The 26,763-nt window shown below is 52.4% G+C and overlaps 1 protein-coding gene and 1 pseudogene across 7 annotated transcripts, besides 7 other annotated features; both read right to left on the bottom strand.

Annotated features, from left to right (window-relative positions):
* Positions 1–974: 974 nt before the first annotated feature.
* Positions 975–26,754, bottom strand: ATP8B2 (ATPase phospholipid transporting 8B2). Of its 7 annotated transcripts, none has more exons than NM_001370597.1 (28): positions 26,577–26,754; positions 24,107–24,174; positions 21,825–21,883; positions 21,351–21,464; positions 21,133–21,231; positions 20,774–20,835; positions 20,601–20,673; positions 20,255–20,325; positions 19,582–19,661; positions 18,014–18,172; positions 17,688–17,776; positions 14,735–14,931; positions 11,217–11,425; positions 9,756–9,799; positions 9,318–9,483; positions 8,978–9,166; positions 8,711–8,826; positions 8,222–8,386; positions 8,025–8,136; positions 7,779–7,884; positions 7,494–7,638; positions 7,125–7,308; positions 6,734–6,957; positions 6,396–6,479; positions 5,803–6,048; positions 5,521–5,659; positions 3,741–3,871; positions 975–3,439 (listed from the first exon to the last, which is right to left on the bottom strand). In NM_001370597.1, the coding sequence occupies exons 2-28, from the start codon at positions 24,135–24,137 to the stop codon at positions 3,161–3,163; spliced, it is 3,573 nt and encodes a 1,190-aa protein (NP_001357526.1). In that variant the 5' UTR covers positions 24,138–24,174; positions 26,577–26,754; the 3' UTR covers positions 975–3,160. The 7 variants fall into 7 exon arrangements, 6 of the variants coding, with proteins under 6 accessions (NP_001357526.1, NP_001357525.1, NP_001358938.1 ...); NM_001370596.1 differs by having other exon boundaries at positions 8,025–8,157; positions 8,240–8,386; NM_001372009.1 differs by lacking the exon at positions 26,577–26,754 and adding an exon at positions 24,418–24,532.
* Positions 1,981–2,964: an enhancer, noted in NCBI's record as "H3K4me1 hESC enhancer chr1:154321791-154322774 (GRCh37/hg19 assembly coordinates)". NCBI's record gives its function as "activates a minimal SCP1, AML or CMV promoter by ChIP-STARR-seq in naive H9 embryonic stem cells {active_cell/tissue: H9 hESC(naive)}" and the evidence as "EXISTENCE:reporter gene assay evidence [ECO:0000049][PMID:30033119]".
* Positions 2,965–3,949: an enhancer, noted in NCBI's record as "H3K4me1 hESC enhancer chr1:154320806-154321790 (GRCh37/hg19 assembly coordinates)". NCBI's record gives its function as "activates a minimal SCP1, AML or CMV promoter by ChIP-STARR-seq in naive H9 embryonic stem cells {active_cell/tissue: H9 hESC(naive)}" and the evidence as "EXISTENCE:reporter gene assay evidence [ECO:0000049][PMID:30033119]".
* Positions 13,477–13,535, bottom strand: RNU7-57P (RNA, U7 small nuclear 57 pseudogene; annotated as a pseudogene).
* Positions 20,459–21,658: an enhancer, noted in NCBI's record as "BRD4-independent group 4 enhancer chr1:154303097-154304296 (GRCh37/hg19 assembly coordinates)". NCBI's record gives its function as "activates an origin of replication core promoter dependent on BRD2, P300/CBP, MED14 and CDK7 cofactors, and independent of BRD4, by STARR-seq in HCT116 cells {active_cell/tissue: HCT116}" and the evidence as "EXISTENCE:reporter gene assay evidence [ECO:0000049][PMID:35650434]".
* Positions 23,315–23,774: a silencer, noted in NCBI's record as "silent region_1355". NCBI's record gives its function as "represses an Ori minimal core promoter by ATAC-STARR-seq in GM12878 lymphoblastoid cells {active_cell/tissue: GM12878}" and the evidence as "EXISTENCE:reporter gene assay evidence [ECO:0000049][PMID:35858748]".
* Positions 25,414–25,593: an enhancer, noted in NCBI's record as "active region_1777". NCBI's record gives its function as "activates an Ori minimal core promoter by ATAC-STARR-seq in GM12878 lymphoblastoid cells {active_cell/tissue: GM12878}" and the evidence as "EXISTENCE:reporter gene assay evidence [ECO:0000049][PMID:35858748]".
* Positions 26,334–26,483: a silencer, noted in NCBI's record as "silent region_1354". NCBI's record gives its function as "represses an Ori minimal core promoter by ATAC-STARR-seq in GM12878 lymphoblastoid cells {active_cell/tissue: GM12878}" and the evidence as "EXISTENCE:reporter gene assay evidence [ECO:0000049][PMID:35858748]".
* Positions 26,534–26,763: a silencer, noted in NCBI's record as "silent region_1353". NCBI's record gives its function as "represses an Ori minimal core promoter by ATAC-STARR-seq in GM12878 lymphoblastoid cells {active_cell/tissue: GM12878}" and the evidence as "EXISTENCE:reporter gene assay evidence [ECO:0000049][PMID:35858748]".

The raw sequence follows: 26,763 nt of genomic DNA, 5'->3' as shown, positions 1-26,763 counted from the left end.
GTTCCAGACAGACCCCAAAGAAAGGCTTGTGTGGACTGGACAGCCTCTCCCTGGGTGGAGGTGGGTGTCAGGTGGTGTTCCTGGCGGTCTGTGGCGGGATTCCCGCCAGGGGCCGTTTCTCCTGAAGAGGGAAACAGATCTTATCTTCACATCTTCCCCCCATACACCCTCCGCTCCCCCACCCTTTTTTTTTTTTTTTTTAATACAGGCGGGGTCTCCCCATGTTGCCCAGGCTGGTCTTGAACTCCTGGGCTGGGCTCAAGTGATCCTCCTGCCTCAGCCTCGCAAAATGCTGGGATTACAGGCATTGAGCCACCACACCCAGTCTACGTTTTTGAGAAGGATTGTTCCATAACTGAAGACTGGCTGGGTCAGGGGGAAATTAGCCTGCGGGTGGGGCTGGATCATGCTGATATTGGCCATCGGCGGAGGAAGCTATACTTCTTTCTCCTCAGGCCAGCACTAACCCTGGCCCTGACTCCTAGGACCCCATCCTCATCCGCCCTCCCTTCCCTGGAGGAAAGCTCCCTTTAATATAAGACTTTAGCTTCCTTGATACTCACTTGAGAAGCCAGGAAGATGTGAGGCATGCGGAAAAGCGCAGAGTTAAAAAACAAAACCTTACAATATTTACCAGGTACTTTCCCTACACACACATCCATCTGGCGTGTGTTAGGGATGACAGGTTGGCCTGCGTTTGGAGAAAGGTAAACAGCTCAAGGTCCTAGGCACCCAGCCAAAGTCCATACGATATGCCGCTCAGTACCACCCACTGCCCCGTCTTCATCTTCAGCTGAAACTCAGATCCCGGGAGGTCTGCAAATGGATGAGGTGCTATCCCACACCAGTCAGATTCCAATTTGTCCAAGATATCCCAGATCTACCCACTCAATTACATTTAAGAGACAGTTTCTGTCTTTACTTTCACCACCAGTCTTGGTTAAACATCAGAAAAGAGACAAATTACACACTTCTCAGAAATTGAAATTTTATAAAAAGGCATTTTTCTCTTATATCCATAAAATGATATAATTTTTGCAAGTATAGAAATGTGTCATAAATTATAATGTTCCTTAATTACAGCTCAATGCAACTTGGTACTTTCTTCCCTCCCTAAAAAACGAGAGAGAACCAAAAAATAATATATATATATATAACTGTATATATATATTTATATAATATAGACAAACAAAATATGAAAAAAAATCATTTCCTCTTTGGTATAAAAATCAGACTCTCACCTTGAGAGACACACAGACAGACATGATACTGGGTTTGTAAACTGTGTGGCCAAAAGGGATTTCCCTGCCAAGACTTCCCCTCTCCCATTCCCTGCCCACCCGCCCCCACCTCACTGCAGCCCATCCAGTTCCTTTGGGGCTCCCATATGGAACATTTAAAATCCCCCTACCCACTCCCAGCTCCAAACCATTCCTGAAGAATCCCCCGACCCACTATCAAAGAAGAGGAAAGGATTCTTCTCAAGGCTGATTAGGTAGCGACTAACTTGGGAAATGCCTTATTTAGGGAATAGCTTCATAGGTGTGGATGAAGTAAAGGACAGGCTGTGGCCAAACTCTGACAGTGTCCCATCCAGACCAAGCCAGGCACTGGCCTGGGCCTGGTTTTGCCCTTATCCTCCTCTACTACCCGGCACAAGGATTCCACCACCTCTTGCCAGAGGCTGGGCCTGAGGGGCGGGGCTCCTTGCTTACTGAAGAAGGGAGCAGAGAGGCCAATTCCCGTTCCAGCCTCATCTCAGGTGCACAGCTTCCCCCTGCAGCCCCACCACAGGGCCCTGGGGTGTAGATGCAAGAAAGCACCAGATGGGGAGGCAAAGGGAGGTCAAAAGGGAGTCTGCCAATAAACTTGGGTTTAAATTTAAAATTAAAGAAAACTACGCCTCCCTGAGCTGGGTGTGGTGGCTCACGCCTGTAATCTCAGCACTTTGGGAGGTTGAGGTGGGCAGGTCAGGAGGTCAGGAATTCAAGACTAGCCTGGCCAACATGGTGAAACATCTCTACTAAAAATACAAAAATTAACCAAGCGTGGTGGTGTGTGCCTGTAATCCCAGCTACTCAGGAGGCTGAGGCAGGAGAATCGCTTGAACCCAGGAGGTGGAGGTTGCAGTGAGCTGAGATTGTGCCATTGCACTCTTGCCTAGGTGACAAGAGTGAGACTCCATCTCAAAAAAAAAAAGAAAAAAAGAAAAAGAAAAAAGAAAAGAAAACTACCCCTCCCCACTGACCAAATTTCAGACCCAGCTTTAGCTCACTAAGGATTTGGGGGCCACTTTCCTAGGCTCCAGCCCAAGGCCAGCAGGACTAAGGAATCCAGGAATTGATATGTGTGTGTGTTGGGGGCAGAGGGCAGCACTTTACTCTCAAGGTGAGGAAGCAGACAGGACCAAACCCTCCTTTACACTCTCCCACTACCCTCTGCTCATGGGTACCTCCCTCCCTGGTCAGCTCCTCTGCCCCACAGAGCACTGGTCACTGCAGGCAGAGCCGACATGGATCCTCCCAAACCACCCCACAGCCGGCCAGGCTGCGGCATCCCAGTGTGTGCCAGCCTCCTTTTCCCAGGAGAGTTAAGACACCAACCACAACATAAAAGTCACATAAAAGCCTCCTCCACTTGCCAAATAAAAAAAGACAAAACCAAACTGGACACAACACAAATCAAGGAGAGACATACACGATGTGAGGGGCCGAGGCCCCTGCAGGTCTCTGGCTTCCCGGCATGGTACATTCTTATGTAATTCAGGAACAGAGGCACTAGGGCCCCTCTGGGGAGTAGGAGTAAAAAAATAAGGAGATTATAGTCTCCCTGTGGGTCCCAGGCAGGGCAGGGGCAGACACAATCTCTCACAGTTTTTTCTTGTTTTTGGTTCCACTTCTGGTCCCCGAGTGGGGCTGGCTCCCCGTGCCTCAGCCTCTGCTCTGCCCTTGGGCCTGCTCCCTCTAGCTCCCCAGCTGGTGGAAGGGCCTACAGCTGGGAACAGATGTCCCAGCCATGTGTGGTGGGACCAGCAGGACAGAGTCTACCGGGGGGACGGGAAGCAAGGAATGAGGACCAGCAGTTCCGAGACGCTGTTCCCTCAGTGACTGGCCAGCCCTGGGTGCTCTGGTCACTGGCACAGGGCATCCATCCTCGGCCTTCAGCCCTTGAGGGGCTTGTCGGCACCGCCACTGGGGCTACTGGCACTGTCACTCTTCTTCCTGCGCAGGCTCTCAATCCAGCTGGAGCTGGAGCGGGTGGTGAAGCTGGAGAGCGCGAGAGAGCTCAGCCGCATGTTCTTGCCAGACATGATGAGCTCCCCGAAGCCCTCCTGATGGGAGAAGGCATAGCCGGAGCGCCGGGAGCCAGTGCGGCCAACCCGCCGCATGCAGCGGTGCTGGGCCTTCTGCTTCTTCCTCACGAGCTGTGTGTAGCGGACCTGCAGAGGGGCACAGGGAAGAGCCCTCTGTCAGCGTGGAGGTGTCAGATATCGCCAAGGAGAAGGGACCCACAGCACCCGGGACCAGGCTGACACAGAGGCCTCCGACCCACAGCACCTGGGACCAGGCTGACGCAGAGGCCTCTGTGGCCAGCTGCACAGGGTGTCTGTCCCCAGGAAGAACAGATAAGCACCAACACACTGAACAGCCACATGGCCCCACAGAGCCCCCCAGTGTTCACATGAGGCCTTTCCAGCCACCCCATCTCTGCCTCCCACAGCAGGTAGCCTGGCTTCTCACCGTGTCGGAGAGATCCGGCTTCAGGTTGAGCCTGAGGAATCGGAAGGCAACCACGGGCATGATGCAGACGACTGTGGTGAGCACAATGGTCAGCCACACCGTGGGCTGGGCCAAGGTGTTCTGGGCATTCCCTGGGGATGAAGAGGAGTCAGTGGCCTTGGGAGTCACGAGGCAGACATTCCCCGTTCCCATTTCTGGCAGCTCCACTTCCCTACTCTCAAAGCCTAAGTCACCTCTGGCTTCCCGCTTCTCCAGGCTCACCCTCCAAATGTAAATCTCCAAATTTAGCTCCAAACTCCCCCAAAGCTCCAGACCTGCTGCTTCAACTGCCAGACTTGACATACCAGGCATCTTGAATTTCCCGTGGCCCAAACTCAACTATTGTTTCCTTTCCCCAAATCTGATCCTGGTCTTTCTCAACTCAGGAAATGCCACAACCCATTCAGTTGCTCCAACTAAAAACCCTGCAATGGATCTTGATTCATTTCTGTAAAAATTTTTTTTTAATTTTTTTTTTGTTGTTTTTTATCTTGATTCATTTCTCTCTCTTCTTTGGACCCCACATTCAATCTATTGGTTCCATTTTTTTTTTTTTTTTTTGAGACAGAGTTTTGCTCTTGCCCAGGCTGGAGTGCAATGGCGCGATCTCGGCTCACCACAACCTCCACCTCCCAGGTTCAAGCGATTCTCCTGCCTCAGCCTTCCCAAGTAGCTGGGATTACAGGCATGTGCCACCAAGTCCGGCTAATTTTGTATTTTTAGTAGAGATGGGGTTTCTCCATGTGGGTCAGGCTGGTCTTGAACTCCCAACCTCAGGTAATCCGCCTACCTCGGCCTCCCAAAGTACTGGGATTATAGGCTTGAGCCACCGCGCCCGGCCTGTTGTTTCCATTTTCAAAACATCTCTGGAATCTCACGGCCTTTTACTCTATTCCGAGCCCTCATTAGGCTCACCTGGTGACTGCTCTCACCTCCTAGTCTCCCATTTCCACCCTTGCCCCCTACACTTTATTATCCACGAAACTGTAAGAGCGGCCCTTTAAAAACATAAGTAAGCTTCTGGTATTTCTCTGCTCAAAGCCCTCCAATGGCTTCCTCTCACATTTAGATTAAAATTCAAAAACTCAAAGTTCTTCCTCTGACCCATAAGGGCTTAAATAATCCTGACTCATTCCACACCCCCACCCTCCAACTCATTTCCTCCACTCCTCCCCAGCTCCACGTGCAGAAGACCTCCTCCCAGGCCAGGGCTGAAGGCCTTTATATTGCTGTTTCCTCTTCCTGGATTGACAGTTCCCAGAGAGCCACATGGCAGGCTCCCTTTCCCTTTATTCAGATTTCTCTGTGCTAGCTGGGCACGGTGGCTCACACCTGTAATCCCAGCACTTTGGGAGGCCGAGGTGAGTGGATCACCTGAGGTCAGGAGTTCAAGACCAGCCTGGCCAACATGGTGAAACCCTATCTCTACTAAAAATACAAAAATTAGCCAGGCTTGGTGGCGTGTGCCTGTAATCCCAGCTACTCAGGAGGCTGAGGCATGAGAATCGCTTGAACCCGGGAGGCAGAGGCTGCAGTGAGTCGAAGGCTGCAGTGAGCCGAGATCGCACCACTGCACTCCAGCCTGGGCAAGACTCCTTCTCGAAAATAAATAAATAAATAAATAAAATAAACAGAATACTTGGCACATAAGAAATGTTGAATGTGCAGATTAGCTGATGGTCCTGTTAGTCCCAGAACAGCTGTGATTCCTCACCGATTCAAGGAGGCCACGGGGACTTACCCACAAACCGGAACTGGTTGGGAAACATGTCGAAGAGCCCATTGCTGTGCATGGCAAAGAGGATGGCAAAGTAAACAGCAAGGCTTCCCCAGATGAAGAAGTGGTTGATGGCCGTCCAGTAGCCTGTGTCGAGCCCAATCTGCAGAAAGTAGGCATAGTCAGGCAGGCGCACGCCCTAAAAGCCCCTTCCCCCAGAAACAGAACTGTGGTGCCCAGGGCAGCCCCAGGGACAGAAGGCTCACTCCTTCCAGAGAAGAGGGGAGTTCCTGGATGGCCTCATACCTGCACGCTAACCACAATGACCAAGGATGTGGCCACAGTGACTGCAAAGGACTGGTAGTCAGCCAGCTGAGTGCCATCATCCCGGGTGGCATCAGCAAACACCCCATAGGGAATGAAGAACATGAGCACGGAGGTGTAGATGCCCTGGGCGATGCAGATGAAGAACTCCCGCTTGTTGAAGAGAAGGTTCAGCTGGCCCGGCTCATACAGCTTAGGGTACTCCATGCTCCGCTGCTCGGGGACATCCTGTGTGGGAGGACCATGTAGCATAGGGGGCCTCAGAGGTTGCCGTTTTGACCCTGGATGACCAAGGGCAGACTCTGACTCTGTCCCTGCCTCCTCCTTTCCAAAGTCTTTGGCAGCTAGAACCAACCTCAAGCCAGCTACCCCCAGACTAACTTAGTTCAGCAACCCAAGAGAGTTCTAGATCAGCTGCAGCCAGGAGGGAGAACCAGCCACACCTTCCCCGGCTGAAAGAACTGCCTTCCCAGTGGCCACAGGAAATGGGCACAAGTGTCACACACCACGTCTATGTGACTCCTTCAAGCAGTGACCTTCCCCGCATCCCATCTGATCATCAAACTCCCCCATACCTGATCAAAGACCCCCATAGCCAGGACTGGCAGGGAGGTGTACACGATGTTATACAGGGTGATGAAATACTGGTCATAGACGGTCTGGAAGAGAACAGGGAGCAAGGGAGCATGCAACCTTTCTTTGCTACACATCAGGCACAGGAAGACAGCTGATGTCACATACAGAGAACCCTAAGAAATTTTCTGAGGCTCCTTCTCTCCTCCTTTAATAAGCATTTTTTAAGAGTATGTACCAGAAAATAGCTAGGCCCTGGGGGACTGAGTGATAAACAAGACAGAACCTCTGCCCTCAGGTTTACAGATTTGCACAACAGTGGACTGGGAACATTTATTACCTGGGCTGAGAAGCCACAGAAGAAGCCAAACCAGAAGTGGACCATGGTGAAAGCAAAGTTTTTGTAGAAGAAATAGCAAAGAAACTTGCACATTCGCAGGTAGGACCAGCGCCCATGCACCAGCAGGAGGCGCTGCAGGAACTTGAACTGGGAGAAGGAGTAATCGGAGGCCAAGACAGCCTGGATCCCTTCCTGCCCACTGATCCCCACACCAATGTGAGCCGCTGCAGAGACAAGAGATGACAAGAGGGTGAAGATGGCCACCGGCCACACACTTTAGAGCCTACCAAGTTACAACCCCCTTCCCGTCATTCTTCTGCAGTCCAGAGACCTCAGTGGGCCCCTCCCCAGCCTCAAGCCCAGCCTACACACCTGCACAGCCCACACTCACTTTTGATCATGCTGACATCATTGGCTCCGTCTCCAATGGCAAGCGTCACAGCCTTCTTGTACTTCTTGACCAGTTCTACCACCTGTGCCTTCTGCAAGGGGGTCACCCGGCAGCAGATGACAGCTTTGCAGGCACACGCTGTCTCCAGAAACTCCAGCTCCATGTCTGCCTCCAGTGCGTGGGCCTGGAGCACAGAGAAACCTGAGAGAGCCAGTCTTTCCAGGAGACACCTGGGAGTCTCAGCTCCTCCCAGTCCCCTTTGAGACCAGTCTTCTCTGAAATCAGGGGAAATTAGAACAAGATATAAAAGCCCTGGACAGAAGTGCTCACTGGAAAGATACTGCCCAAGCTAAGGATAGCGATGCCTACCAGGCTGTGACCATTTATGACCAGGGCGTACTCCCCAGCAACGGCCTCCAGGACAGAAGTTAGCTTGGAAGAAGAAAGCTTGTCCTGATAGGTGAAGCCGTTGCCTACGGAGCGGGATGAGTCCATCATCTTCTCCCGGGCTTTCCTGTCGAGGTGGAAATGATACGGTTGTGGTCTTCCAGAACGGCAGTGGGGAGCAGGGATTCAAGTCTAAATGGTCCAGAAACCCCCACCTGAGCCCTGGGCACAACGCACAGCACCGCCTCCCCTGGGCTTCTTGTTTACCTGAGCTCCTCCCGCACCTCCAGGACAGTATGGCCAGTGACTATGAAAACCTCAGTCATGTCATCCGTCAGCATCTTGCAGGAATAGCCGATGTTCACAGCCGTCTCTACCAAGAGAGAACGCAGGAGCTACGGACAGGCACCCAACAAGGTCAGCACACTTGCCTGCCTGATGTCCTCGGCTCCATGCAAGGGTCCAACAGGGCTACTGTCAGTTGCAACTGGCTCTGCCCTGCTGGGCTCTCACCTTGCTTGTCTCCGGTTAGCACCCAAATCTTGATGTTGGCCAGTGTCAGGAGGGCAATGGTCTCTGGAACCCCTTGCTGAAGTTTGTCCTCAATGGCCGTTGCACCCAGCAGCTGAAAATACCACAAGGATTCCTGGCACAAGAATTGCAGGCATGAGCCCTCCGTGCCCATCCTTGGCCCGTCCCGCAGCCCGTACCATCATGTTGTTCTCAACCTCCTCATAGATGCTAGCCAGCCTGTCCTCCCGGCTGTCCTGGGCCAGGCTGGCCTGGAGGCGTCGCTCAGCCCACTCCTCGTAGTACTCTTCATCCAGATCCTTGTAGGCCAGCACCAGGGTCCTCAGCCCTTCCCCTGCGTACTCCTGGAGGCAGAGTGGAAAGGCACACCTGGGTAAGTCTGGAGAGCTAATGGACAGCGTGAGGGCGACAATGAATAATCCTGCACTGTAGACTGGGTGTGTGCCACATTCCACAGTTAGGGACTGTCACCACATACATAAAAAGAGGTAACTATGGGAGCTGGCTGATGTGTTAAGTTGTCTGACTGTAGTAATCACTTCACTATATATACACATCAAAACATCACGTTGTAGACCTTAAATTTACACAATAAAACAAACTTAAGTCGCCTCCCCCACACTAAGAGTAGAACCCCCCAGGCTGGCCCCTCCTCTCCTCACACCCACATTAAGGTGGTCCATGGTGGTGTTGAGCAGCTCTTGAGTGGAGTGGTGCAGTCTGTCCAGTAGGATAGTGTCAGCCCCTTTGCAGTAGAGTCGGATCTTCCCCTCTGGATTCCGCACTATGAATGGGGCAGGTGAAGAAAGTGCCAGAAAAATTCAGACAGGCAAAGACCCCCAACATAAACACATCAAGAGTCACCCGGCACACTTCACCCATTCCAGGCCTGAATGCTGTCCCCAAACGCCCCAGCACCCCAGGCCTGGCCTCACCTATGACCGACATCCGCTTGCGGATGTTGTTGAAGTCCAGGATGGCCAGCAGCTGGTAGGTGATGGCTGTGCCCATCTCATGGACGGTGATTGTTTTGGGGGTGCGAGAGCGGAAAACAAAACCAAAGTTCCTGGCTGCGGTGACCAGGGCCCCCTCATCTGGGGACTGAGCTTTGTAGTACAGCTCTCCTGGGTGGGGAGGAAGAATACACGTGATATAAGTGGCTTCCCTCAGCCACGTGCCCCGCCCAGGAAGCCCCAGCCCAGCCGCATTGCAGAGCAGAGCAGAGCCCAAGGGCAGAGTCAGGTCAGGAGAGTGCGAGCCGGCTCCTCGGCCCACCTTCGTTCTTTTCTTCTGACATGACAGTATGACACAGGGAAAGGAGGCGGAAGAACTCATGCGTGTGGGGGTCCCCGATCTTGACAGCCTCCAGCAGGCTGGGGTCCCAAAATAAGAACTTCTTGTCAGCCAGAGGATTGAAGGAGAAGTCAACAGGTTCAGGCCTCTGAAACACATAAGAAGGCTCTTAGGAAAGGCTAGAGTGCCAGGCTGCATCCCGGGGAAGGGTTCATCCCTGCCCTCCCAACTCTCAGTAGGCTCCTGTCCACGGTGGACCTCAAAATTTCCACTTCCGTCATCACCAGTTCTGCCTTAAAACACCCATTTCTCCAAGCAGCTTCCATTTCCTATCCAGACAACACATCACTCCTGACTACACTGTTACTGGCCAGGCACCCTGTTTCACTGGCACATAGAATTAGGGAGACTGAATCTTACCTCTCCCAATTCAGCTTTGTGTCCCAGGACGTCAAACACATCACCTACATACAGCCAGGGCAGAAAAAGAAGCAATGTCAGAGCCAGAGAGCTCCAGAGCATGGAAAAACATCTCCAATGCAGAATCCCCGTAGGCACTGAGCCCCTCAACCCTAATCGCTGAGCAGCTGTCACAGTGTGAGTCACTCAGTCACATTGCTGACTCGCGGGATAGGAGGCATCAGGCACCCTAGATTCCAGAACCCCAAGGCCTGGCCATGAAAGAGCCCCGGCACCCACTGCTCACCATCCCTGTCTCTACCCTAGGCGGCACCCCCCTCAGGGCAGCTCCAATTCCACACCTCCCAGGCCTCCTTGCACCCATTAGACCTGAGCAGCAGACAAGGCTCAGACACTGACCGAAAGGCATCAGTCAGTACAGAAAGCAGTCACAAGAGGGGTCCACACTCTGCATAAAAGTCAGCCCCACATGCTGCCCCAGGCCATCCCAGCAGCACAGCCACGGGCCACACTGGGAAGTCCAACCACAGCCACATTCCACAGACTCACAAGGACCCTGAGCAGCAACAGGGGAGAGTCTAGCAGGGTTCCGCCTGGCCAGGATGCCCAGAGGCCAGTGTCTCACTTCAAACAGCCAAGGAGCTCCCCTAATTCCTGGAGCTGAGACCAGGGTCAGGGCATCAGGAGAGGACAAGGGGAGGACTCTCAGAATCTAATTTTTTTTTTTTTTTTGATAGACTTTCACTCTTGTCGCCCAGGCTGGAGTACAATGGCGCAAACTCGGCTCACTGTAACCTCCACCTCCTGGATTCAAGCAATTCTCCTGCCTCAGCCCCCCGAGTAGCTGGGAAAACAGGCACCTGCCACCACGCCCAGCTATTTTTTGTATTTTTAGTAGAGACGGAGTTTCACCATGTTGGCCAAGCTGGTCTCGAACACTTGACCTCAGGTGATCCACTGCGCCCAGCCAGGATCTGCTTCTTGACATGGGACACAGAATGGACCTCTTCTTTGTGTGTGGATTTTTCTCGAGAGACAGGGCCTCATTCTGTCGCCCAGGCTGGAGTGCAGTGGAAGATCATGGCTCACTGCAGCCTTGACCTCCCAGGCTCAAGTGATCCTCCCATCTCAGCCTCCTGAGTCACTGGCCAGCTGAGACCACAGGTGCATGCCACCATACCTGGCTAATTTTTAAATTTTTTGTAGGGATGTGGTCTCACTATGTTGCCCAGGCTGGTCTCGCATTCCTGGGCTCGAGCAATCCTCCCACCTCAGCCTCCCAAAGTGCTATGACTATAGGCATGAGCCACCGTGCCTGGCCAGGATGGACCCTTTCTTCTAGGCCCCTCAGACCCAACTAGGAAGGAAGAAAAAACCAATGTTAAGGAAACTGTGGGGCCCCAGTTCCACTGTCCTTCCAGGCGAGGTGCAAGCCCCCAGTCCCCAGTGGTGCCACCATACCATAGCTGTGGCCATTGATGGAGCACTTGTTGAAAACCATGATGTTCTGGGTGAGGGTGCCCGTCTTGTCGGAGAAGATGTACTCCACCTGGCCCAGCTCCTCGTTTAGGGTGGTGGTGCGGGCTTCTGCAGGCGTCCGCTTCTTCATGCAGAACATCTTCTTATCCCAGTTGATGAAGTAGCTGTGGCCCAGACGGATGACCTCCACACTGCACAGGGGACAAGAGGTGAGGCTTGGGTCGGGAAGAAGAGGAGGTGCCCCACCCACATGGGCCTTCGCTGCAGGCCCTCCGCCTGGGGAGAGACAAGAACGGAGAAGACACCTGGGCACAGAAACCTGGGTGGGAAAGGGCAAGGAGAGCCTGAAGGTGGAGCCGGCTGCACACAGCCAGCAGAGGAACGCCCCGACCCGACCCTCCTGATGCTCTCCAGACAAGAAGGTGCAAAGGGCCTGGGTGGGCAGGACAGACAGCAAAGGAGGAAAAGGGGCTGTAGACAAGGCACTCGGCCAGTTCTTACCTCAGGACTAATAATACAGAAACCATGCAGAGAAAAACAAGAGAAAGTGCCAGAGGGAGGGGAGAGAAAAGAGAGAGAGAAATAATGAGGGTGCTGTGCATGCCACAGCAACACAGACGCCACCTCAAAGAGGGGTGGCACCGGGGAGGGGAAATGGAGAAGGCTTGAAGCCCACTCGTCACTGTCCCACCACAGGCTGGGTGCGCTCCTTCCACCCTGGGCTTGGGGCACTACATTCCTGATTCTGAACACCGGGCAGGGCTGAGGTGCTGACTCCAGAGGGAGAGGGCCCTGGGCATCTGCAGAACACCACCACTTCACAATGGCACAGCGCATTGTGGTGGTTGTTGTTTGCTTGTTTGTTTTTTGAGCTAGGGTCTCTGTCACCCAAGCTGGAGTGCAGTAGTGTAATCATAGCTCACTGTAGCCTCAAACTCCTGGGCTCAAGCAATCCTCCCACCTCAGCCTCCCTAGTAGCTGGGACTACAGGTGCACACCACCACACCTGGCTAATTTTCATTTTTTGTAGAGATGGGATCTCGCTGTGTTGCCCACACTGGTCTTGAATTCCTGAACTCAAGAGATCCTCCCGCCTCCACCGCCCAAAGTGCTGGGATTACAGGCGACAGCCACCATGCCTGGCCCCTATAGTGCCTTTAACATCTCCAGGTCTGTTCGTATCCTCTTCTTTGCTAATCATATGCACTGTTAGCATTTCCAGAAAGGGCCATGTTTAGGTCCAGTGCAGCCGAGCAATGGGGCCCTATCGAGAGCCCTGCTTCCCACCTGACTAAGGCACCTATCAGGATCCCATTACCAGGCAAATGGGAATGTCTTCACATTCCAAAGGGCCTTTTCCTCACACAGCTCTTCAACCCCCTCTTAGCCTCCCGAAACATACACACTGTGACCTGATGAGACTCAGAAAGAAAACTGCTTTAGCTGCTCCCAAGGGCTTCAAGTGAACTGAGATACAAAACACAGATAGCAAAGCCCATAGGTGGGAAAACAAAATTAGGTTGTAAGCACAAAGGCATTTAAATAGTAATGCAGAAGGGAGTGGCAACAGTCACAATGAGCAGGCTACCACCCAGTAACTGTACAGTCACTTAAGTTTAAAATGTATCTTCTAAGCCAATATCTTATATCAAGACATCCTATTAAAAGGTGAGACAAGTACTCCTGTTCCTGTTTCACGTGGGAAAACTAAGATCAAGTGAGGCCCTGAGTGACCGTGGATTTTCCTGAGGTCACATGGCCAGTGAGGAGGCAGGACTAAACCCAGAACCTCCCAACTCTCCTCTTCACACCCTGGAAAAGCCTAAACTATATTCTCTCAGCACAGAAATGCTGTATCTTCTATTTATTATCACCAGCAGTAAGATTGGGGGCTGGGAGAGAGTTGAGGGCTATTTGGGGAATCTGTATGAACAAAAGATGGGAGACAGGACAAGTTTTCAGCACCTCCATAAAACATTTCCTTAAAAATGTCACAGGTTCCCTTATCTCAAGTGCAAGGCACTAAGCAAGAAAGTTCCTTTCCCCTGGCCATTCCTCCTGCCTCGTCTTCCTCCGATCCTCCCCTTCATTCTCACTGGCCTGTCCCTGCTAACATTCTCTTTACCTCAAACATCCTACATGTTGCCTTGATCCTATTCATGCTGTACACTACTGCCAGTCAATACTTCCTAAAGCATTCTTTAGTTTTTTTTTAGAATGCATTTTTTTCTTTTTGTGGGGGAGGGGTTCCAGTGAAAACTGGAAAACCTGCTAGACAAATTCTAAAAGAGCTGTAACACTTAGAATGCATTTTTAGAATACAGAATACATTCTTTTGACTTTCTTCAAAAACTTTTTTGTTTGTTTGTTTGTTTCGTTGTTTTTTGAGACACAGTTTCGCTCGTTGCCCAGGCTAGAGTGCAGTGGCGTGATCTTGGCTCACTGCTACCTCCACCTTCCGGTTTCAAGCGATTCTCCTACCTTAGCCTCCCAAGTAGCTGGGATTACAGGCAACCACCACCACACCTGGCTAATTTTTGTATTTTTAGTAGAGACGGGGTTTCAACATGTTGGCCAGGCTGGTCTCGAATTCCTGACCTCGTTATCCGCCCACCTTGGCTTCCCAAAGTGCTGGGATTACAGGTGTGAGCCACCGTGCCCAGTCTTTTCAATAACTTTTAATGGTTAGTAAATACAAAGTCCACAGGCAAATATTCAAAAGCCTCCACAATCAGGAGCAAGCTATGTTTCCAGCTCTTGCTCTTGGCCCAAGACCCTGGCCAACTATTTCCATAGGCCATTCCCAGGCTCCCATCTCCACACCTTTGCTTCCAGCCCTCTCAGCCTCCTCTCCATTGTGGCTCCACCTTCATCCAGCCCAGTCACCACTCAAAGCCCAGAGCAAATGCCATCTCTCCCTCTCTGCCTACCTGCTTAGGGAGCGACACTCTCCCAGTCCCCGGGCACCCTGTGCCTCCCACATGGTATCTCAGTCTGACACTGTCCAGATCTCCCCTCCTCGACCTATCCATCTGCTGCTGCTAAAGGCAGAGGCCACCTTATACATCTCTGTATCCCCAAGCTTCACATAGAAGACTCTAGGTCGAATTCTACAGCACTGGTTCCTATTTTGTTTTATAATGTGTTTAGATTTTCCTTCCTTTACTAGACGTAAGCTCCTAGAAGGAAGGAGATCCATTCCTAATTCATCTTTTATTTGTGATGGCACCTAGCACACTTCTTTGTACACAGTAGGCATGTAATAAATAGGTGCTGAATAAATCAATATTTTTTTTTCTCTAATACAGTCCCAAGTACCAGGAAACTGTGGTAAAAAGTTTGCTCTGCCCACAAAGATAAACAGATAACATCAAATGTTTACAGTACAGGAAGAAGAGGACTTCTCGTTACTTCTCAAGGACTTCATCTTCATAGAAAAGAAAAGTTCTATGGGACCGCCTGACTCCCTGGAGAGACCCCAGGTCAGAGAAGGCACATACCTGACATAGAGTGAAATGGGCACAACGGTGTTGAGGATGATGATGTAGGACCAGAAGGAGAGGAAGCCAGAGAAGAAGGCACTGTCCACTGCCTCATCCCACGGCAGGTAGACCTGGAAACGCATCCCCACCTCGTGCTCCCAGATGGCATTGCCAATGGCCAGGATCACCCCCATGCAAACCAGGAATCCAAAAATCTGGGGAGGAATGAGAAGCACAGGCGAGGCTGACATGTAGGAAGCCCTCAAAACCAAGTGCATCTGTGATGTATTCATCCCTTGAGCCCTCAAAAGCTCAGATGCTCTAGTGCAAGCTTGTCCAACCCATGGTCTCTGGGCCACATGTGGCCCAACACAGATTCATAAACTTTCTTAAAACACTATGAGATTTTGGTAACAGCTGAATGTTAAATGAAAAATAATTATAAAAAAAAAAAAAACTATTATGGGCTGGGCGCAGTGGCTCAAGCCTGTAATCCCAGCATTTTGGGAGGTTGAGGCGGATGGATCACCTGAGGTCAGGAGTTTGAGACCAGCCTGGCCAACACGGTGAAACCCCGTCTCTACTAAAAACATTAAAAAAATTAGCCAGTCCTGGTGGCACTTGCCTGTAGTCTCAGCTACTCAGGAGTCCAAGGCATGAGAATTGCTTGAACCCGGGAGGCAGACATTGCAGTGAGCCAAGATCATGCCACTGCATCCCAGCCTGGGCAACAGAGCAAGAACCTGTCTCAAAAAAAAAAAAAAAAAAGGCCAGGTGCAGTGACTCACACCTATAATCCCAGCACTTTGGGAGGCCAAGGCGGGCAGATCATGAGGTCAGGAGTTCGAGACCAGTCTGGCCAACATGGTGAAACCCCATCTCTCATCTCTACTAAAAATACAAAAAAATTAGCCGGGTGTGGTGGCGGGCACCTGTAATCCCAGCTACTAGGGAGGCTGAGGCAGGAGAATCACGTGAACCCGAGAGGCAGAGGTTGCAGTGAGCCGAGATAATGCCATTGCACTACACTCCAGCCTAGTGACAGAGTGAGACTCCGTCTCAAAAAAAAAAAAAAAAAATTTATGAGATTTTTTTTTGCAATTTTTTTTTTCTAAGCTTATCAGCTATTGTTAATGTTAGTGTATTTTATGTGTGGCCCAAGACAATTCTTCTTCCAATGTGGCCCAGGGATGCCAAAATATTGGACACCACTGCTCTAGTGGAAAAAGCTCAGAACTGGTGACAGGTTCTAGTCTGTCACCAATTATCATGTGGCCTTCTGTCTGACCATTATTTCATCTATATGATGAAGAAACTGAAATAGTTGATTAGCTCTCAATCTGGCACCTTGAAACCTTCCAGAGTCCTCAAAGTTGGTAAGAGTGGGGATGAGCTACTTTTAACATACCAGAAAACTTACTGTAAATAATCTATTCACCTGGGCTAGGTACAAGCCAACAAAAATGCCAAGCCACGGTAATGTTCACTATCTCACATAGATGGCCTTTTTTTTTTTTTTTTGAGATGGAGCCTTGCTCTGTCGCCCAGGCTGGAGTGCAGTGGCGCGACCTCGGCTCACTGCTGCAAGCTCCACCTCCCGGGTTCACGCCATTTTCCTGCCTCAACCTCCCAAGTAGCTGGGACTACAGGTGCCCGCCACCACGCCCAGCTATTTTTTTGTATTTTTAGTAGAGATGGGGTTTCACCATGTTGGTCAGGATGGTCTTGATCTCTTGACCTCGTGATCCACCCACCTCGGTCTCCCAAAGTGCTGGGATTACAGGCGTGAGCCACTGCACCTGGCTAAGATTGCCTTTTTTTTTTTTAAACTTGGGAAACAAACTTATCTTCATAAACGTAGATTTCTTTTTTGAAACAGGGTCTTGCTTTGTTGCCCAGGCTGGAGTGCAGTGGCATGATCCTAGCTCAACGCAGCCTCAATCTCCCAGGCCAAGCAATCCCCCCGCCTCAGCCTCCAGAGTAACTGGGACCACAGGTGCATGCCACCAAACCTGGCTAATTTTTCAGTTTTTTGTAAAGACAGGGTCTCACTATGGTGTCCAGGCTGTTTTCGAACTCCTAGGCTCAAATGATCCTCCCACCTTGGTCTCCCAAAGTGCTGGGATTACAGGTGTGAGCCACCACTCCTGGTCTAGATTTCCTGATTAGTCAAAAATCTTATAAATTTTGGAGTCTCTGGAGAGACTGGTAAAAAACCAGGCCACTGTCCAATTTCCTACATCTATTTCCAAAGCTGCCTCCGCTGTTTAGGCTTTGAAACAAAATAGGAGATTGGTGCCCAATGGCCACCAGGGGGCGACTGGAGCCCTTATGTGATAGACAACCTCGCCCACCAGGCTGGGTTTCCGCACACTCTTTAAAGCCAGGGCGGAAACAAGCTCACCAGAGGCTAGCCCCAGCCTTCACAAGCTGGCATGTGGCGGGCAGGCAGCAGACAGTCGGGGCACAGGAAGGGGAGGAGAGCCCAACAAGGAGTTCAGATTTCTAGCTAAACAAGAGAAGGATTCAGGAACTGCCAAAAACTTAAACAGAAACTTTTCCTTTGGGATCCTTCGTTCTTAGAAGTTGGGGGGAAAAGACCCTGCCAACCTCTTCCAAATGGAAATTTTTCTTTTAATTCCCTCTCCATCCCCATGAAGGCCTCCTTGTCCCTGGCAAAAGCAAACAGAAGGTCACATGCTTCACAAAGTCATCATCATAACTGGAATCAGAGAAGGGATGATTTGTTTTAGCTTTAAGTTGTTGATTCATGCACGTTCCTGAAGTTTTTTTAAATAACATCTTCCAACTAAAAGGAGCCTAAAATAAACACTGCCTTTGTGTAGCTGACCTGCTAGCAGCTTTAAAGCCAAACCTGAAGTCTACTGACCAAAGAAGAAAGAGGAAAGGAAAAGGAGCACCCAAGGAGAAGAGAGGGCAGGGGCAGGGAGCCAGATGTGGGGCGCCTCACCCAGAGCACCAGGGTATTCATTAGGCGATCGATACTCGTTCTTTTGAACTTTGTTCTGCCGCTGTTTTGCATCAGCTTAGTGTCGGGACCTGGAAAAGAATGGGAAGGGCTGGGAAAGCCAAATAACACATCTGCCTCTGGGCTTCTGCCCTGATCCCCAGACTGCAGGACACCAGGGTGGAATAGAGATACTGGCTAGATAAGAAGCCTGTATACACAGCTGGAGGTTTTTTACCTTAGGTATTCTCCCACCTCATCCCATACTCCTGAGTGAGGGCTGGCTGAGTCACTCTTACCCTTCTTTCTTTGGATGCTAGGAGGCTCACCTGCAAAGATGACCAGCCCGAAGCACCACTCGGTGTTTCGCAGCACACAGCCCCGCAGCAGCATGTTCTGGTTGCTCAGAGGGAACTTATTTTCCTTCCAGTAGAGGGTTCCGCTGAATTTGTCCAGTTTGTTGTTGGGAGGTTCACAGATCACTTCACCTGAACAGGAGACAAGAATTCCACTGCTTAAGGTCCAGTCTACAGCCTAACCACAAGACAATAAAACAAAGAGAAAATGAGCTGAGCGAAGAGGATGCAAGGGCAAGGGCCCATCCATATGCTGCTGGGAGGAGTGTGAGCTGATGCAACTCTTCAGGAAAATAATGAAGCAGGCCGGGCGCGGCAGCTCATGCCTGTAATCCCAGCACTTTGGGAGGCTAAGGCGGGTGGATCAGCTGAGGTCAGGAGTTTGAGACCAGCCTGGCCAACATGGTGAAACCCTGTCTCTACTAAAAATACAAAAATTAGCCGGGTGTGGTGGTGGGAGCCTGTAATTCTAGCTAATCGGGAGGCTGAGGCACGAGGATCGCTTGAACCTGGGAGGTAGAGGATGCAGTGAGCCGAGATCGCACCACTACACTCCAACCTGGGCAGGAGTATTTAAAAAAAAAAAAAAAAAAAAGCTGCAGCATGACCTAATATTTGTTTGTACAAACATGTATGAAAAGTGTGGATGAGCACACACTGACTGTCAATTAATGTGGCTACTTCAGCAGGGTAGAAGAGGAAGGAAGAGCTATTTTCTTCTTCTTTTTTTTTTTTGAGACAGTGTCTCACTGTGTTGCCCACGCTGGAGTGCAGTGGCCCGATCTCGGCTCACTGCAACCTCCACCTCCCAGGTTCAAGCAACTCTCATGCCTCAGCCTCTCAAGTAGCTGGGACTACAGATGCACACCACGACGCCCGGCTAATTTTTGTATTTTTTTTTTCTTTTTGAGACAGAGTTTCGCTCTTGTCACCCAGGCTGGAGTGCAGTGGCACGATCTTAGCTCACTGCAACCTCCGCCTCCCTGCAACCTCCGCCTCCCAGGTTCAAGGGATTCACCTGCCTCAGCTTCCTGAATAGCTGGGATTACAGGCATGCAGCACCACGCCCAGCTAATAATTTTTGTATTTTTAATAGAGACAGGGTTTCACCATGTTGACCAGACTGGTCTCGAACTCCTGGCCTCAGGCAATCCGCCCACCTCGGCCTCCCAAAGTGCTGGGATTACAGGCGTGAGCCATGGTACCGACCTCTATTCACTTTTTCTTATACACTCTGTATGGTTTGTCTTATAAGGAACACATATTATTATTCTGAGCTAATAAGCTAAAAGAATAAGCTGAATTTCTCTCAACATGCATAGCAAGTGGGGAGCTATCAGCCACAAAGTCCCCTTGAAATAATTATAAACTCAAAACCAAGAGGGAGCCACATGACATTACAAACACTCCCCTCCCCAAAACAGTCCAGGGAGTTGCATAATAACAACAAAAAGCCCAAAGGAAAATGTATAATTTAACGCCCCCAAACAAAACCCAACCCCACTCCTCTACCTTCAGGCTGCTCCTCCAAAATTACTCACCGTCAAACTTGGCAAGCTTACTGATGTCTCCCAATTCTGAGGTGACTGGAATCGCCTGACGTACTTTCATGTTGGTCTCGCTGGAAGGACAGTATCTCTGAGTCCCCGCTCCCTCCTCATCCTCTAAATGTTTTTTTTCACAGATGGGGTCTCGCTCTGCTGCTCAGGCTGGAGTGCAGTCGCACAATCATAGCTCACTAAAGCCTCGAACTCCTGGGCTCAAACAATCCTCCCGCCTCAGCCTCCCAAGTGGCTGGGATTATAGGCATTAAAACCACCATACCCAGCTAAGTTTTAAACTTTTTAAATTTTTTGTTTGTTTGTTTTATAGAGATGAAGTCTCACCATCTTGCCCAGGCTGGTCTCAAACTCCTGGCCTCAAGCAATCCTCCCACACTGGCCTCCCAAAGTGCTGGGATTTACAGGAGTGAGTCACCATGCCCACCTCTCCCCATCCTCTAAATTCTACCTGGTGACACCTAAGCATGGTGCATAACTGCTCAGCCCAGCAAATACTGGTTGAATAACACTTCACACATCCCATCCAAAGCCTTTCTTACCCCTAATTTTTCCAAATTCAGACAGAGCCCAGGCCTGAGAACCTCATTCAAAGACAATCTTTTTACCTCCAAAGAGACAGAAGGAGAGGGCTGACACTGAGCATGCCACTTACCCATCAAGTTCTGCTGTCTCTATGTAACACAGCCCATGGGGCTCACTGCTGGAAAGGAGGAGGAGATCCGCCTAGAGAGAAAAACTAATGAGAAGTCCAAATATGCAAACCTCCACCCCCAGTGGGCTGTAATGGTGGCTCCTTCCACTAAGCATTCTTGGTTTGCTTAGTTCCAGGTGCATAAATGGCTAGTTCCAGGCATATCAGCATGACACAGAAGCCCCTGGTGTGAGAAAGATTCCTGCCACGGGTGTTTAAGAGGCAACAGTAAATCAGGAAAGATTCATCCTTTTCTCACAAAGAAGAGGAAGAACCTACAGGCCTAGAGGGGTACCCTGTCCCTTACCGCCACAAACTGGTTATTTTCTAGCTTGATAATATCACCAACACAGACATTCATCCACTGCTCCTGCTGGAGGCTGAGGCAACGAGAAGACAGTGAAGAGGCTGTCAGGAGCTAAAGAGGTTCCTAAGGGACCCCCTTCGTCCCCAGAGCTCTTGTCTCCAACAGGCACTCACATTCCATTGATCAGCACCTGAGACTGGCGGTTATTCACCTGGTTATCGCTCTTGTGGCGGAACTGAAAAGAAGAAAACTGAAAGGTAAGACACCTTCCCCCGCCTCGAAGGAATTCGTTGATCAGTAGAACTCAGAGCATGCTGGTTAACGCCTCATACACACCCCATCACAAACCAGTTCACTCCCTGATTCCCTCTCCCCACGCTCAGCAAAAAGACATCATGGATCTAGCTGGACCGGGTAAGGGATGTCAAGGTCACCAAGAAATTGTGCTGGATGAAGGTGGCCATGAGATGGGGGTGGGGCTGGGAGTAGGGGTGGGTGACTGGGACAAAATAGAAGAATGAAAACCACTCACATAGTCATCAGTGGCATCTTTAACAGCTGTGATGGTGAGGACAAGAACCAAAGGCACAATGGTGGTGAACCAGGACAGGGAAGAGATCTGGGGGATCAACTGAAAAAAAGAAAGAGAAGTATGCCTCTGAGGCCCCATCTGATGCCTTCATTCCCTTTCCTCTTCCTTGGCTTTATTCAGTTTGGGGAGCTGCAAAAAATCTACTATGGGTCACCTACCTGCAGAATGAGGAGGAACAGGAAGTAAGTGTTGGCAACTTCCTGGAACTGCTCAAAGAGGTTGACAGGCAGGAAGGTGAGAATATTGTACTTGGAGGTCTTGATGCAGTTACTCTATGGCAGTAGGAGAGAAGATAATGAGCAGTCTCCAGTCCCAACCCAGAACCAGACTGAGGCTGCCTCCCCCATCTTTATACTTCCCCAGACCTCTACCCCAAAAGCTAGCAAACACAGGTGTGGGAGGGGGAAAGAGGAGGAGAGAAGGGAGTCTCAAGGGGGTCAATGTATTCTGCTTCACTGACAGGTGAAGGCATGAAAAATTCAGCACGATAGCAGATGGAGAGTGGCTGAGGAGGTTGCTTCCCCTCCCCCAAGCACTCTTCCCAGGCAGCCCTCAGTCCCAACGGTAGGTTGTCCTTGCCCCATTCCCCTCTCCAAACAGAGAGAGGGAACAGGTGGTCTAGAGTCGCTTACCGCATACTGGAATTTCTCATTGTATTCTCGGTCATTAGCCCGCGCCCTCCTTTCTTCTTCTGCAACAAAATGATGCTGCAGTCAGGAGGAGCAAACTGAGGTCTGGACCAACACTTTGCTGGGGGGTTCCCTGTTTTTTTCCACAGAATATCATTTTAAGGAGTTAGCTCCACAACTGAGGGGGTCATCAAATTCTTCCCTCCAGTCCACCTCTCACCAGCAGCCTGACCACACGGCTCTCCAGGTTACATTCACAGGACAGGACATGTTCTCTTTTCCTCACCACCAAACTTCAAGGTCTTCCACTGGAAGCACCCAGTTTGTCTCCCCCACCCCCACTCCAGAGGAATCTGAGCCACTGACAGTCCTGGGATTCCCCAGCCCCTTTTGCTGCTATTACTAATGCATACATTGTCATAATCAAGGAGTAGCGCTGAAAACGCAAAGCTTCCTTCCCCCTGGGGACCACTGCAGATCTAGTCGCGGTACTGCTCTCTCCCTTATTTAGAGAGTGGGGTAGGTGGCAAGAAGGAGGCTCCCTGTGCCCTGGAGCTGCTCTGCGGGAGCATCCCAGCCCCATGTGCAGTCCCCCCTACAGGAGCCTCTGGTTGTCACATGTCACCAGCAACTGCTTCTGACTGGCCCGAAATGACATCACCTTATTTCAAAGCTCATCTTCAAGTAGAAAAAGGTGTGGGGGGTGCGTTTCAGGGATATGGGTCATGCAGACTGAGATAGAGATAGAGGAGGGAGGAATGAAATGTAATTGAAACAGTTGCTCTCTAACTGGACCTTCCTTGTACCATCTGCACACATTTAGCTTTAAAGGGCTCATCTGTCACTCAGTTAGTGACACCTATCTAGCTAAACCTATCTGAAACCTCTGCAGGTCTGGGACTGCAGGCATCAAATTCATGTCCCAGAACAAGGAGCTGTCCTATAATAGATTCCCCAGCCCGTCTCCCCGGGGGTCACCATGACCTCATGCTGCAAAAAGGGGTAACTTGGTTAGGCAGCAAACCTAATGCCTTAAGCCTGTCCGGGAGCCAAAGACAGCATTCCAGAACCCTTTCTACACACCCCAGGACCCCTGCAGAGCACACTGCAGTAACAAAACCCAGGCCACAGTGCCCCCTGCCTACCAAGCCACTTCACTCCCATAAACTTCCCTAGAGGGGCTCTCTTGGGCCAAGTCCCCTGCGCAATCACCAAAGACCATGCAAACGAAGAAGGTAGGGACTGGATCCTTCGGAGCCAGGATCTCTGGGTCTGGAAAGAGGATCAAGGCAGGTAGGGGGAGGCTGGGGACAAGTGAATGTAGGGATTGGAGGGGGGAAATAATGGGTGCGGGAGAGCTGCCAGGCGCTGCCTCCCGTTACCTGTCCCCCAAGAGGGCTTCTTTCGGCTCCAAGAGGGAGGCGCCTGGGCCCGGGCCCACTTCTCGGGCATCTCCTTGGGGACCGTCATGATCCCGGTTTGAGTGGGGGAGGGCAGACCGTCTATATGTCCTTGGCCTTAGTGGCATCGACGGGGCGGCTCCCCGGGGAGGTGCAGGAGCCGCAGCCGCTCAGAGGGGAGCCCCAGCCGTCGGGCGCGCGCCCCACCCGCAGCCCAGGCCATCCTCCCGGCCGCCGGCGCTCGGGGACACCGCGAGCTCAGCTGCGCCGCCGCCGCCGCCCCCCATGCCCCCCGGCGGATGCCAGCGTGCGCTGAGTGGCCCCGGACACGCCGAGCACGCCCAGGGTTCCGCCCCCGCCCGCTCCCCGACTGCAGGAGCCGCAGCCTGCCAGCGCGCCGCGTAGGCGAAAGCTCGCGCGCGAGCCCCGCCTCCCCTCCCACCCCCGGGCCGGGCCAATGCGGGTGAGCGGACTGCCGGCGTTGTCGGGGGCAACCGCTTTCACACACACACACCCCCGCCCGCGGAAAAACCAGGAGAACCGGTAGATGGAAAAACGAGGGGAGCAGGGAAGGGGTGAGAGGACCAAGCAGAGATGAGAACACAGCTCCCTAGGCCAGAAAGCAGGAGCTGCAGGTGCCCGAAGATAAGACTGCAGGTGTTTCGGGGCGTGGGGCTGGTGCTCTGCGCTGTCCTGGCAGATAACCCAGCTTTGGGATCAAGCGGAAGAATTCGGTTTCCTAGGCTGCCCCCAAGCTGGGTAGGGGCTGCTGTAAGCTACCCTCCCTCAGACCCATACCAGTTGTCCCTTTTCCTTTTGCTCCCTGAGCCATAACAACACCCACTCTTGATGGTTCCCGGGATCTCCCCTCCTTGCCTGTCTTACCTGGGGGGCGCTTTTTTGCACACACTGCCATCTCACCCAGCAAGATCCCAGCAATCCCATGGGAGACCCTGCAAGAAGTGACAGACGAATGAGGTCAGGAAGCTGAGGATAACCCTTCCCTCCCCTCATGAGACCTCTTTTGAAGACCCTCTTCTCCAGCTCTGACCCTGCCCCTCCCCCAGCCTCCTTCTCCCAGTCTCTCCTCTTACTGCCATGATGGGTTCCTGGGAAAGAGGGGACTTCCCCACCACCTCCCATCATGCCCCTGCCTTGGGTGACATGGGGGGCTGAGACTTTACAGAAGCCCATGCCTGTAGGGAAAGGAGAAGAGGCCAGATATTGAAAAAAGGGGAACAGCTCTCAAGGTATCCATCCCAGGGACAATGGAGGCTCTCATGTGTTCTGGCGGCAATGAGTAGTGCTTGTGCTTACTAGAAAGCAGTTTCCCCAAAGGGTGGGGTGGAGGGAACATGAGCCAGGAAACACCTGGCAGGGCATCAGGAAACAGGGTGGGCAGGCTCCACCCTTCTCGAAAGGCTTATAAGTTCCCTGCCATCCCCACCCCCCATTACTAGGGCTTCCATTATCACCTCCTCCAGGGGAGCTCACATTAGAGGCATGGCCCTCACTTTCTGCACAGACAGTCCCTAAACAGCTTCCCCTCAGCCTGGGTCAGCCACCCTTCTGGGCTGGCAGAGGGGTCTTCCCAACCCTGGTGGGGAGTTTGCCCCTCCCTCCCTCCCACCCCAAGCCTAGTCCAGTCAGTATGGCACAGGGTGCAGGCTTAGGGAGCACCAGTGAGACAAGCCTCTGCCTGCTTCCGCCTTCCCATGTCCTTTCTCCTAAAAGGTTCAAGGCCTGGCCTTACAAGGCAGAGCCTCATCCTTACTCCCCAGCCTGGCCCAAAGGAAACTGCCAGTCAGTCACCTCCTCTTTCCTTGTCTGGGTGGAAGGCCTTTCACCTCCTCATCCTCTTTGGTTCCCTCTGCCTTTAGCCTACCAGGCACACCCCACCAACCTGTCAGCCCCAAGAGATACTAATTGCCTGTCTGGCTAAGCTCTATAATTACAGATTCTGGCCACAACCCAGTCACCCACACCAGTTCTCCCTTCGCTAGCTCAGATCCCGCCCTTACACCAAGTCAGGCAATCCTGAAAGCCAGAAGTCCTTTTCATCCCTGACCTTCTCCAACTATGGCAGTCCAGGGTGCCTGGCTCAGGAAGAAAAACCTCATCCATATTTTAGAGATGCCAAGCCCTCCTCCAGGGCCCCCAGCCAGGGTCTCCACCCAGTCTGAGTATGAGTCACGGGAGGGTGGGGAGCACAGGGAGAGGTTAAAGGATGCAAGAGTGGGCATCACAAGTTCTACAGGCAGCCCCGCCCTTGGGGAGGAAGGGATCAAGAAACACTATCAGCCTAAACATCTGAGTTTGAGTCCCATGAAAGAGTTAATGTAGGAGCTGCACACGCCATCAGGAGTCAGGAGTCTGGATATGGACCAGGAAAGTTGTTCTACCTCTGAGACCCTGGGGAGACTGGAAGCAGGCTTGGCCCCAGACCTCATCCCCTCTGGGGGGGCCATCATTCCAAGGGGAAGAGAGGAGAGACCTGGGAACTGGGATCCCCTCTCACTTTTCCTTCTTAGTCTCACACAGCCTGGGTTTTCTGAGCAGGTCAGGCCCATCAGCCACGTTGCCCTGCCCCGTCACCCAGCCCCAGCCCCCTCTCGGCCACATTTGGGATAAAAATAGCCAGCCCCGGCAAGCAGGCAATGCTCCATGGAGGAAAACAGCTCCTCCTATAGGTCCGGTCCCTGCTCCCTTACAAGCAAGAGCCCCAAAGGCTGGCCACTTCTTTCAGAGGAGGATGGCAGGTCAGGGAAACAGGAGGAAATGGAACTCGAGACCTCCAGCTCACTGGCCACCAACACGAGCTCGGGCCACCTTCCCTCACCAAGGACAGAACTCAGGGCTCCCGGCACAGCTATCATCTCCCAGAGCTACTGCCCCTTCCTGACACCCTCAGTTTTCCTCAGGCATAGACCTCCACCTTACTGAGACAAAGCCTACCAGCCCAAACTCCCTTCTCCAGGCACCAAACCCTCGGGTCCCGGTTACTCCTCTCGCCCAACAACTCTCTGGGCGGGTCTCCCCTGGCCAAGGCTGCACGAGCTTCTCCTTGGCACTCGCGCCGCTCTCCTGCTCTCCACGCGCCCCTTCGGCACCCCATCCTCCCATCCTGTACGCAGACCCCCGCTCTGCCCCGTCCCCGGGAACCCGACAGCCCCTCGTCTCCAGTCGGCCGCCATCCCCGCCCCGTCTGGCCGCAGCTCCCAAATCTTGGCCCCCGGTGCTCCCCAGTCTACACCCGCTCCCCGGCCCCTCCAGCCCCGCGGCTGCGGCCGCATCTCCCTCTGCCCTCCTGGCCCCGCGCTCCCGGGCGCCCCCGCTTCGCCTCGCCTCGCCTCACCTCAGCGCTCAGCGCTCGGCGCCCGCCCCGGCGGCCCCGTACTGCCCATGCCGGGGGCTGGGGCGGGGGGCGCTCGGCTCGGCTCCCCACGGGCTCCCGCCCCCCCAGCTGCGGCCCCGCTCCCCCGGGGCCTCGGCCCGCTACTTTGTGTCAGTTTCGGCCACGGCGGGGCGGAAGTGACGGAGCC

Source organism: Homo sapiens, chromosome 1, assembly GCF_000001405.40.
Source record: "Homo sapiens chromosome 1, GRCh38.p14 Primary Assembly".
In the NCBI taxonomy this organism is placed as follows: domain Eukaryota; kingdom Metazoa; phylum Chordata; class Mammalia; order Primates; family Hominidae; genus Homo; species Homo sapiens.
This window is presented reverse-complemented; position numbering and strand designations above follow the sequence as displayed.